Here is a 12,790-nt window from a genome sequence, read left to right on the forward strand (position 1 = left end):
ACAGAGTTTTTTTTTTTTTTTTAGTTTTTTTGAGACAGGGTCCTGCTCTGTCACTCAGGCTGGAATACACTGGCATGAAAATGGCTCATTGCAGCCTGGACCTCCACAGCTCAAGGGATCCTCCCACCTCAGCCTCCCAGGTAGCTGAGACTGCCTATGCTCAGCTAATTTTTTTTTTTTTTTTTTCCAGATAGCTTTGTCACAAGACTCAGGCTGGAGTGCAGTGGCGTGATCTTGGCTCACTGCAACCTCCACCTCCTGGGTTCAAGCGATTCTCCTGCCTCAGCCTCCAGAGTAGCTAGGATTACAGGCACGTACCACCACGCCTGGCTATTTTTAGTGGAGACGGGGTTTCACCATGTTGGCCAGGCTGGTCTCGAACTCCTGACCTCAAGTGATCCGCCCACCTCGGCCTTCCAAAGTGCTGGGATTACAGGCATGAGCCACTGCACCCGGCCGTCCAGCTAAGTTTTAAAAGTTTCTGTGAAGATGAGGTTTCGCTGTGTTGGCCAGGCTGGTCTTAAACTCCTGACCTCAAGTGATCCGCCCACCTTGGCCTCCCAAAGTGCTGGGATTACAGGTGTTAGCCACCGTGCCTGGCTGCCCAGCTAAGTTTTAAAAATTTTTGTGGAGATGAGGTTTCGCTATGTTGCCCAGGCTGGTCTTGAACTCGTGGCCTCAAGTGATCCTCCTGCTTTGGCCTCCCAAGGTGCTAGGATTACAGGCATGAGCCACTGCACCTGGCCTCAGAGATTATGTTCTCTCAGTGTTTCAGTGTCTGGTAATTCTGTGCAGTTTGGAGTTTGTTCTTTAATTTTATTATTTTCACATATACAGTTGTAATCGACAGTGTTCAGCAGGGAAGATCGGATAACAAACCCATGAACCAGACTGTTTTTGTTTTTTAATTGCGCTAAGGTATACATAACATTACAGGTGTGAGCCACCGTGTCTGACCTGTGCCCCATTTTTTAAGGACAAGGCAAGACTACCTTTTCCCGAAAGAGAATCAGCTTCCTGTGCCCTTCACCCCTTGCTGCCTCCTGGGCAAGGAAAATCATTTGTCTGCAACCCCTTCATCATGTCTCTCTTGATTCCAAAAGCATAAAAGGCTGGTTGGGTTTTCCCTCTTGCCTTGCTTTTCTAACAAGCGCGCACATTGGAAGTATTTTTCTGCCGGCATTTCACTCTCTTCCCAACTTCCCCACAAACGTCCCCAGCCCCCATACCTCCGTTGTCATCTCGGTTGCCAGGGTGCTCTCATGCTTGCTCAGGCAGAAGGGGGCCCTTGTTGGCATGGATTCAGCTGGAAGCAGAGGAAGAAAAGCCAGTCGGAAAAGAAAGAGTGCATCCCAGCCTGGGAACGGAAACCCAAAGCAGGCTGTTTCCCCTCTGTCCCAGCCAAGAACCTGGTCACCTCTCAGCAAGCCTGGCTAAGAGCATCCAGCCTGGGACCTGGCGGGTGGGGGAGGAGCTCAATCAGTGCCTTCATTCCACCCGAGGGCCACACCAAAGCGCCAGTGCCAGTCATAATCAGGTTGTTCTTAGTAAATGATTTGCTTTTTAAAATATAACTGTCTTTCCATGTCTGGGGATGAGGAAGAAATAGGCTGTTGTTTTTGTTTGTTTTGATTAGGTAGTCATGTAAATGGTACATAATTTTAAAAGTGCCTTCGTTGCCTCAGTCACTCCCTTCCTAGAAATGACCAATTACAAGGCCCTGAGGTAGTCTCTGCAATTAAAAACATGTACCATACCTATGTATTCTCCTGAGACACGCCCATGTATGAATGGTAGTAATTAGGTTACCTTTGAATCCTGTGCTCTTTATAGTTTTACAATAAATGATTTTTTTTTTTTTTTTTTAAAGAGACAGGGTCTCGTTCTGTTGCCCAGGCTGGAGTGCATTGGCGCAATCATAGCTCACTGTAACCTCAAACTCCTGGTCTCAAGCAATCCTCTCGCCTCAGCCTCCCAAATAGCTATGACTACAGGTGTGCACCACCATGCCTGGCTAATTAAAAAAAAATTTTTTTTTTTTTGTAGAGACAGGGTCTTACTATGTTGCCTAGGCTGATCTCAAACTCCTGGCCTCAAGCGAACCTCCTGCTTTGGCCTCCCAAAGTGCTGGGATTGTAGGTGTGAGCCACCACGGCCAGCCAGAAGTGATTTGGATTTGACCCACTCTGAAGTCCCTGAACTCCATCTTCCTCATATGGATTTAGAGAAGGTTAATTCAAACTTCAGGTGCTAACTTGAATTTTGAAGCCCATGGCCCCACAGAAAGATCTGGGAGAATAGTTTCTCCCTCCCTGCCTTATCTTCTCTTCCCTGAGTTACTGGTCTCTCTGAGAAATGGCATCTCCACCACCTGGTTGCCCCAGCCAGGAACTTGGAACTTATTCCTGACTCAGTCTCCATTTCCTTCTGTTGTACATTCAAACAGGTGATACAGGCCCATGGTCTTCCCTCTTGGTATCTCTCAAGTTCACCCTCTCCTGGTCAGCCCCTCTGCTGTGGCCTCAGTTCAGGCTCTTGAAATCCACACCCTCTGGATTATTGCAGTGGTTGCCAGCCCCTTCTCCCCACAGCAGCCAGAGGGATCTTTCTGAAATGTAAATCTGATCACGTTCCTGTCCTGCTTTGAATCTTTCAATGGCTTCCTGCTAACCCTGGGATAGATTCCAGCAGCTCCTTAACAAGACATCCAAGTCTGTCCTTGAGTTTCTCTCTTTAGCTTTTATCTTTCCTTGTTCCCTCCCCTATTTTCTCATGCCTCTCTTTTCCTGCTGCTTGGATATATTCCTCTGGGCTCTCTCCTACCATCCTTTAAAATGCATGATAACCCCAAAGGTTAGTTTCCCCCCTCTAGGCATCCACAGTAAGTGTCCTGTGCTGACCTCTGTCATGTATTACATTGTCCATATCTGCTGGCCTGTGAATTCCTTCAGCCTTGGGACTGTATCATTTTTGTCCCTAGTTCCCTAGCAGGGTATCATGAGCAAAGTGTAATTCCTGGTACAGTAGAATGAGCAAAGGAATTGCCTGTTTCATCTAAGCCGTTGCATCCTTTGTAGTATTGGTATGAAGTTGCTTCATCTTTTCTAGTATTGTCATGAAGTTGTTCATAATATCCCCTTTTTATCCTTTTAATATTCCTGGAGTCTGTAGTGATATCACATTTATCATTCTCGATACCAGTAATCTTTTTTTCCTGGTCAGTCTGGCTAGAAGTTCAATCTTGTTGAACTTCTCGAAGAGCCAGAATTTTATTTCATTGACCTTCTTTCTCTTTTGTTTCTTTTTTGTCTTTTATTGATTTTTCACTTCGATCTTTATTCCCTTTCTTCTGCTTACTTTGGATTTTGTTTGCCCTTTATTTGTATTTGTATTTTTTTTTGGAGACAGGTTATCACTCTCTCACCTAGGCTGGAGTGCAGTGGCACAATCATAGCTTACTGCAGCCTCAAACTCCTGGGCTCAAGTGATCTTCCTTGCCTCAGCTTCTCAAGTAGCTGGGGCAGTACAGGTGCCTGCCACCGACTAATTTTTGAAAAAAATTTTTAATAGAAATAAGGTCTTGCCACGTTGCTCAGTCCCAAGCTGGTCTTTTTCTAGCTTGTTAAGGTGGAAGCTGAGGTCCATTTGAGATTGTTCTTTTCTAGTGTAGGCTTTTAGTTCCCTTAAGGTACCACATTGGTGGCATCCCACAAATTTTGATATGTTGTGTTTTTATTTTCATTCAGTTCAAAATACTTTCTGATTTCCCATTTCATTTCTTCTTTGACCTACGGCTTATTTAGAAGTATATTATTTAGTTCCTAAATGTGTGGGGATTTAACAGATTTTCTGTTCGTGATTCCTATTTATTTTATTTTTATTTTTGTTTTGAGATGGAGTCTCACTCTGTCGCCCAACCTGGGGTGCTGTGACGTGTTCTCAGCTGACTGCAATAACCTCCACCTCCTGGGTTCAAGCGATTCTCCTACCTCAGCCTCCCGTGTAACTAGGACTACAGGCACACGCCACCACGCCCAGCTAATTTTTGTAGTAGAGACGAGTTTCACCATGTTGGCCAGGCTGGTCTTGAACTCCTGACCTCAAGGGATCCGCCCGCCTCGGCCTCCCAAAATGCTGGGATTACAAGCGTGAGCCATCGCACCTGGCCTATGATTCCTAATTATTAAATTCCATCCCAGGTGATAGAAGTAATGAGATTCTTTAAAAATATTGCTCCACTGTCTTCTTGCTAGCATCGTTTTCTATGAGAAATCTTTGTCATCTTTATTTCAGTATATGTAATGTATATTTTTTTCTTTGTCTGCTCTTAACATTTTATTACTGATTTTGAGCACTTTTAATATGATGTGCTTTGGTATATGTGGTCTTCTTCAAGTTTCTTAAGCTCCAGGGTCATTGAGCTTCTTGTATCTGTGGGTTTAAAGTTTTCATCAAAGTGGAAAATTTTTGGCCGTTATTTCTTGAAATGTTTATTCACCTGCCCTCCTCCTTTGGGGACTCCAGTTACATGTATATAGGTTACCTGAAGTTATCCCACACCTCACTGCTGCTCTGCTGATGTTTAAAATTATTTTTTCTCTCTGTATTTCATTTTGGATAGTTTTTATTGCTATTCAAGTTTACAAATCTTTTCATCAATGAAGTGTCTGATCTGCTGTTCATCCATGTAATAATTTTAATCTCTAGAAGCTCGATGTAGGTGTTTAAAAAGATTATCTTAGTCTATTTGTGTTGCTATTAAAGAAATACCAGAGGCTGGGGTATGTATAAAGAAAAGAGGTTTATTTGGCTCACAGTTCTGCAGGCTGTATAAGAAGCATGGTGCCAGCATCTGCTGCTGGCGAGGGCTCAGGCTGCATCCACTCATGGTGGAAGGCGAAGGGGAGCTTATGTGTGTGGCGAGAGAGAGAGGAGGAGGTGCCAGGCTCTTTTTAACAACCAGCTCTTTCGGGAACTGAATAAGAACTCACTTACTCCTGGAGAATGGCATTAAGCCATTCCTGAGGGATCCGCCCCCATGATCCAGATGCCTCTCACTAGGCCCCACCTCTGACATTGGTGATGAAATATCAACACGAGACTTGGCAGGGTCAAACAAACCGTATCCAAACCATAGCAAATATCTTCCCTGTTTCTCCTTCGCTTTTTAAGCATATAGACTATAGTTATAACTGTTTTCATCTCTTTGCTAATTTTGACATCTGTGTTAGTTTGGGTTACTTGGAATTTGTTGATTTTACTCTGCATCATGGGTGTTATTTACCCATTTCTTTGCATAAATGGTAGATTTTGATTAGATGTCAAATGTAAATTTTGCCTTGTTGGGTACTGAATATTTCTGTCGTCCTATATTCTTTATGTTTTGGGGGCACAAGTTTTTGGTAACAATTTGCCTTTTGGGTCTTGGGTCTAAGAATTATTAGGCAGGCCCAGAGCAGTGTTTATCTAGTATAGAGCTAGTTAATCCCTACTATTAAGACAAGGCCCTCCTGAAGGCCCTCCAAGAAGAATTATGAGGCTTTTCTAATCTAGCTGAGGAAGAGGCACTATGACTGGCCCCATGTGAGTACTTAATATTATTTATTCTCTGTCATCCTTTTGAGTGGTTCTTTCCCTGGCCTTAGATAGCTTTTTCACACATGGGTGCTGATCAGTATTCTGCTGAATACTTGAGGAGGACCCTCCGTGGCTCTCCAGGGTTTTCTCTCTCCATGCAGCTCTCTCCTCAGGTACTCTCATGAACTCCAGCTGCGTTGGTCTCCCCAGACTCTCAGCTCTATCTCATTAATTCAGGAAGTTGCTGGGCTCTGCCTGGGTTTTCCTTGCCTGCTCCTTGGCCTGGAAACTCTCAGCAATCAACTGGGTGTGATCGTAGGGTTCAACTTGGATCACTGTCCTTTTTTGCTTGATGTCCAGTGTCTCAAAAACTGTTAATTCATTTCTCTTGGGCTACGGATAAATCTAGTCCCTGCCATCCTGTCTTGGCTAGAAGCAGAAGGAAGAGTCTGGATTTGAATCCTGACTCTGCTGGTTGGTTATTCACAAGCTTTGAGATAATCTCTCCGGGCCTCAAATCTCTTCATCTGTAAAATTGGCTAGTAAGACGAATTCCTTATTGTCAGGATTAAATACAAGAATAAAATACGAGGCTCAGAACAGGTGTTAGTTCATGTGAGAAAGGAAGAACTGGCCGGGCGCGGTGGCTCACTCCTGTTATCCCAGCACTTTAGGAGGCCAAGGTGGATTGGATTGCTTGAGCTCAGGAGTTGGAGACCAGCCTGGGCTACAGCTATTTCGGAGGCTGAGATGGGAGGATCATTTGAGCCTGGGAGGTGGAGGTTGCAGTGCACTGAGATTGTGCCACTGCACTCCAGCCTGGGCAATAGAGCAAGACCCTGTCTTACAAAAACAAAAAAACAGAAGAACCTAGGATCAAGATTTTTAAGATTTGAGCTTCAACCATTAGGAATTGAGAAGAGGGAAGGATCTAGGAAAAAAAAAAACCTCAAGAAGGAATGGCCTCTGGGGCAAGGGAGCCAGGCTAGGGGATCCCTCAAGGCTGACAGGAGAGAGGAATTTCAGAGAGAGGAGGGAGGCAGTGCCAGAACTTGTAAGGAGACGGAGGGTGAAGGTGTCTGTGTTCACATTCTAACTATAGTTACCTTTGCTTCCTGAGTGACATTTGTGGCTCACATTGGATCTGAGTGCTACTTCCTCTGCCCAGTTGAAGCAGCTTAATTCAGAGGCTAAAGGGAGTTTCTGATCTTTCTAACTCAGTTTGTGAAGCCAGTTAAAATAAGAAAGACTGCTTATTTCATTGGGCAGGAAAAACTTGATTATGTGAAGCAGTCAGGAAATGGAGCATATGGATGTTAATTACATTTTCTGGATCACACAAGATCAACCAGAAAGAGCCTTTTGTGTTTGTTTCAATCCTGTTATTGGAAATCTCAGAACTATATGGGTTCACCTATTGTTAGAGCTCAAGGAAGACCTAGAGAGAGCACCTAATCCGCCCTTCTTGTGTCCTTGATGAGGAGTCTGAGGCCCTAGGAAATGAGGGGACTTGCTCAGTGACATACTTTAGTCATGGCAGAGTTGGAACTAGAAGCCAGATTCGGAATCACAGGACCCGTGTTGCAGGTTGTGTCTAGATACAAGTCTCCTGTTCGGGCACCTGGCTTGGATTCCTCCTTGTCAAGTACCTTTAACTTTGTTACTTTGAGGAGGTTGTTGAACCTTTATGACATCAGTTGCCTATCTTTAACTTGAACACAGCCTTAACTGCCTGAAGGCAAGGGATTATATCAGATAACTCCTAGCAGTTTCCTCCGGATGTAAGATTAGTGTCAGGTGTTACAGGGACTGGTCAGGACATGTAAATGAGTAATGTGTCCAGGTAGAAGTTGGTGGGCAGTGGTGGGCTCTGAGACAGACTGGAAAGTGTGTGCCCCTTCCAAAAGGGATGGCTGCTGCTCTGCTCTAGTGGATCGTTGCTAGGTGGCAGTGTGGGCTCAGTGTTGCCAGATACTCCATCTTTACAAAAGGAAGCCAAAAATCTGGATTTTTATGTGTAATATGTAATATTCAAATTTACGTATTAAGACACGACTTAAGACATGGGACAAATGAAGACATATCTGTGGGCTGCATGGGTGCTCAGTTTTAGCCTCTGATCGCTGTTTAAATGAAATTCTGCAGCCTGGCTGGTGTCTAGGAAAGAACTTTGGCCTTGGATTGCAGGGCACAGGCTGAATGACTATGGCCCTCACTAACCAGGGGGAGGTCACTTTCCTTCCCAGTATCCTGGTTTCCCCCTCCTGGCTCTGAGTTATCTTGATCACCAAGAGCTACTCCAGGGCTGCCTGCTGGGTCTAGGAAGTGAAACCCCTTCTCTTCCTGATCAGCTGCCCTTTGGGGAGCAGGAGGAGGCAGCCCAGATAGGCCTTGCAGGGTTCCCTTTGGTGACCCTGACTCCCGTGGCCATTTCTCTCCTTCCTTATGCCCTGGGCCACGCCTGCTGACCCAGTCTGGAATAATCTGCTGCTTACTTTGGGTCTCTGCTACTTCCCTCCAGGTATAGTCACAGGGGAGGTCCTAGGCTCATTGTCCCTAATAATAATCCCCTGACCCTTTGGTTTTAGGGTTCTAGCAATTCCAGTGTGGGTTGACACAGGAAAAAAGTGGGCAAGTGACAGAGGTTCTTGTAGCTTTGGTCCCTGGGTCCTCCAGAATGTGGAGGAAAGGCTGTCTTAGGACCTGGGAAAAGATCTGGAAGCCATTATAGGGTGAGAGGACGGGGGCACCCACAAATGAGGAAATGGCAGGGTCAAGTTGGGCGTTATGGAGTGCCCCTCCCTTCTCCCTGTCTCAGTGCTGTTAGGGGCACAAAGATGGAGGTTCCACCCTGGAGGAGCTTATGGTTTAGGGTAGACGTGAGGGAAGAAGACATTTATTCTTTAAAACAGAAAAAAAGCTCACAGCAAACTTTCCAGCTATGTAGAGTCATCGACCTAAGTGTAGAGAGGATGGTAATAATGGTTGGATTTTTATCCCATGTGTTTTTAACCAATTTAAAATCTACTAGAAAAAAAATTTTTTTCCAGGTAGAGGTTTTTACTGCATACCATCTGGACTGTCGCTAGTGGACAGTTTGTGGGCAGAACAGGCAGCCCGCTGAATGCCCTTGGTGCCAGACTGCTGCTAACTTGTGGGGTCCATGGGGAGGGGAAGGCCTTCAGGGCTTTCAGATCCCCAGGCTCAGGCAGAAGCAGGCCCAGCTGCCTGCTTGGTGCGGGGTAGACGCTCTTCTGCAAAGAAAGAACATGCCCTTTGCAGATAGGCAGCTTGGCTTTGATCCCAGGCCTGCCACTGCCTAACTGTATGACTTGGGCAGGTGATAAACTCTTTGAGCCTCAATACCCTGGCCTTTCAAGTGGTACAGTAACAGTACCTACCTCATAGATAGGTTGTTGGGAAGAACTAGTGAGCATGGAAAGTATCAATTTTTCATTGCCATGAAAGCACCAATCATGGCACCCAGGAAGCTTCTCATAAATGTTAGCTGCTGTTATATATTAACTTTTTCTCCACCATGCCATAACTGTATACTCTTTCTTAGACATACTGGGCTAGGAAAGGGGACAGGATACCACTGCGTGGTGGCAGGCGCCTGTAATCCCAGCTCCTTGGGAGGCTGAGGCAGGAGAATTACTTGAACCCGGGAGGCAGAGGTTGCAGTAAGCGGAGATCGCGCCACTGCACTCTAGCCTGGGTGACAGTGTAAGACTCCATCTCAAAAAAAAAAAAGGGGGGGGACAGGACAGGGACAAGAAGATGCAGAGATCCCCAGAGACAATGTTGGACACAGGCAAGGAAAGAGAGGCGGGGGGGAAACAGGCAAGACGGAGGAGAGAATGCTCATATTCATCAAGTGTTTGCATAGTGATTATCTTTCTCGTCTGTCCTTAGGGTAGTGGTTTCACCCCCATCTTGCATCTGACAAACATGTTCAGAGATGTGAAATAACTTACCTGACACCCACCTTCAGGGCTGGGATTCTGGCCTGGTCTACTGATACCAAGCCTCATATTCTTTTCTTTGTGCCCCAGTGCTGGCCAGCATCAGCCAAGGGCAGGGGTTGATGAAGCTGGCATTGGCCAAATGATCAGGTGGTTTTAAATTGGTTTCTCCCAAGCTGTGTTTTACAGATGTTGGTGTGTGTCTTGTTGGTTTTTCTTGTCTTTTCTTTCCTTTCTTTTTTTTGGTGAGCCAGTTAGGTGTCGGTGTTTTCTTCCTATCAAAATAGGATCTGGGAAGTCCTGCAGTAAGTAATACCAGTGACCAACATTTACATGTCATGCCCTGTGCCAGGTGCTTTACATACATACTTCATTTTAATCCTCACAATAACCCTATGAGGTGCGTGTTGTTATCATGAGGGTTATTAGTGAGATTAAGTAATCTACTTGATGGTGGAGGTGAAACTGGAAGCTAGACAACTGGACTCCCTAAATGACCGTTGTAACTTGATGTGATCCAGCATTTCCTAAGCTTGTTTGACTGCAGAGTGTGTTTTATCATGCCTTTTACGGAACACACTTTGTTTGTATTGTTTAAATGATTTGGAGCGTTTGATATTCTGTTAGGTTGTTAGTTGTGGGGCTTATTTCTTTCATCTTTGTCCCTTTCAAACAGATAAGGGGCTTCTTTCTTTCTGTCTAGAATTTTCCCTTGCAGTGAGTACTGTACTCCCTATGTGTTTGCTGATGAAGTCAGCAGGGTTTCAGACTCTGATTTCCTGGTCATACACAAGTACTTATTTTACCATCTCTAAATGGAGTGCATTAGCTCCAGGCCAGGGAGAGCAAATTAGAGGAACAGGGAGATACATCACAGAGAAGGAGGCTGCTCTGGAAAAAGCTGTCTGCACCTCTAGCCTGAACTCTCCAGCTGTGTGGGAATAAATACAGCAATGTCAGGGACAGCGTTCCAAGGCTTTTGCAGGATGAGGCCCTTGTCCTGCAGGTGAGCCTGCGACAGTGTCAGAGCAACGATGGACACAAAACAGCCTCTGTCTGGGCTTCCAATATGCATTTGGTGCATTTTGGTTTCTGATAACTTTCTGTTTGCCCATGCTGTCCCAGGCACCCTCACACAGGGTAGAGAAATGAGAGCCTAGCCTTGCCCTGCCTTCTGAAACTGCAGGTGTATCAACAGCACTCATTAGGGGAAGGTATTCTTGAACCAGCCCGATTAGCACCTCTTTCCCATTCTTTTTTCCCCCCCTTCTATCTGGGGACTTAGGAGAGCAAACCAGGTAGCTTTTTGGTTCTTTCATGTGTCAGCATGAGCTTTAAAATGGAGTTTATCAAGGGCAGAGTTTGGAAACTGGATGGAAGAACATTAGGCAGACTGTTTTCCTTATGGCACGGGGAACTGCTGATTTATTTGTAGCAACTAAATTTGGAGACAACAGACTTGAGGTGGTGGAAAGAGTCCTGGGCTGGAAACCTGGGTACTAGTCCTGGTTCTTTCTCTGTCTCACTGTGCACTGCGGGGTCCTGGCAAGCTGTGCCGCCTGTTCTGGACATCATTTTTCTCAGTTATCTAATGAGGGGTTGGTCTTCGTTATCTCCAAGAGCTCCTCAAGCCCCCTCTATTCTTGATGCCATGATCGTAACTCTTACTTAGTCAAAGTTTGGTGGGATCTCTAATGCCATGTGGTACAAGGATGGTCACTGATAACCATCTTTACAGGAGAATGGGTTTCTTTGACACTGGTGGTTAACTGTGTTGTTTTGACTTTGGGTCACCCGAGATCAGACAAGATTGGGCATGTTCAGGGTGGTATGGCCGTAGACTTGATTTTGGGTCTTTTCTTGCCCATACACACAGGGCAGATGACAGATCACAGATGACACCCCCATCACTTCCTCCGTCCAGCAGAGCAACCAGTGGCTTCAGGGCCAGGCATAGTTCTCCTGGCTAAGGGCACCCTGAATATCTGAGTTTATTCACTGGCAGAATGAGCCAGGAGGAGCTATCTGAGTGATTGCTGGAGGCAGGCAAAGTGGGGCCCCCTCAGCCTTGCTCGGCTCCCTGCCTGCCAGTAGCCCTACTGGGACCAGGCTGCTGAGGGTTCTTCAGAATGCTCACTTAGGCTGGAGTCCTGGTGTTGCATTTGTGTGTAAGTGTCCTCAGGACCTCAGGAGTGTGTTCATTTGCTTTGTTGTTCACGCTGAGAGTGGGAAAGCAGCAGCCCTCTTCCCTCCCAGCCCTGTACCTTCTGTTAGATGACTTCAAATGTAGACTCTGGGGTCTTCAGAAGGACTGTAGACACTGCCATTCGTTTAGTGAGAGCATATTATTGGGCCCTCCTTCCCTCCATGCCTGAATTTCTCTATACTAGTAATGAGTGTATAGTTATGACTTCTTGGCATCTATTGAGGTGCCCTGGGCTATTTGCCCCTATACTGAACGCCCCCAGATCTGGGACAGGCAGACTTGCCGTCCTCAGCAGCTTTTCAGAGAAGTCGTGTTTGACTAGGAGAAAGGAACGTCCTGTCTAGTTGTATCGAACTGATGTGTTCTCTAAAAATGGTTTCTGTAATCACTAGCTGTTGCCTCACAGAAAGGGTTTCCATCCTGGGTGAACGTCTTTTTGACTGGTCTCTGCTTCTTAGGGTATCTGTTCTGTATCCTTCCTCTAAATAGCTGTTTGGAGGGGCTAATGAAGCAACTGTCTGGAGACCAATGTTTATTTCAACATGGTTGGAGTTGTTTTTGCTTCAGCTTTCACAGCCAATAAAGCTGGTTATTAGATTCTGTAATTGCTGCTGTAATTACTCTCTTGGAACTGGCAAAGGCATAATTAAATATGGAGATTCCAAGGACTGTTTTTTCCCATCTAAAAGCAACCTCTTAAACTTCTATTGGCCTGGCTTAGATTTCAATTGTTAAAGCCATTGTGTTTATAAATGGTGCTGGGGGTTCTCTGGCAGAAGATGGGTTTCTTTAGACACCTCTTTTTTGAATATTTGATTTAGCTGAACAGCTTCTCTTTAACTCGGTACTTGTTTTTTAATCTAACCATCAGGAATCTGGAAAAGTTAAGGCAAAACATTAAGAACCAGTATATATTTAATATTTATGAAAACATTGGGTTGGTTACAGATAGAAGCAAATTTCTGTGGTCAGAAATAAGGTTGGCATGGAGGAAGTTTTACTAAGTGTAATAGTATTCAAGAAGAATGGCGTTTTACTTGTG

The 12,790-nt window shown here is 45.4% G+C and overlaps 1 protein-coding gene across 1 annotated transcript in view, besides 1 other annotated feature; it reads left to right on the plus strand.

Moving 5' to 3' along the window:
- CHMP4B (charged multivesicular body protein 4B) overlaps positions 1-12,790 on the plus strand; it is a 43,019-nt gene that overhangs the window by 19,580 nt on the left and 10,649 nt on the right. The window lies entirely within an intron of this gene.
- Positions 6,610-6,759: a silencer, noted in NCBI's record as "silent region_12825". NCBI's record gives its function as "represses an Ori minimal core promoter by ATAC-STARR-seq in GM12878 lymphoblastoid cells {active_cell/tissue: GM12878}" and the evidence as "EXISTENCE:reporter gene assay evidence [ECO:0000049][PMID:35858748]".

This window comes from Homo sapiens, chromosome 20 (assembly GCF_000001405.40).
Source record: "Homo sapiens chromosome 20, GRCh38.p14 Primary Assembly".
In the NCBI taxonomy this organism is placed as follows: domain Eukaryota; kingdom Metazoa; phylum Chordata; class Mammalia; order Primates; family Hominidae; genus Homo; species Homo sapiens.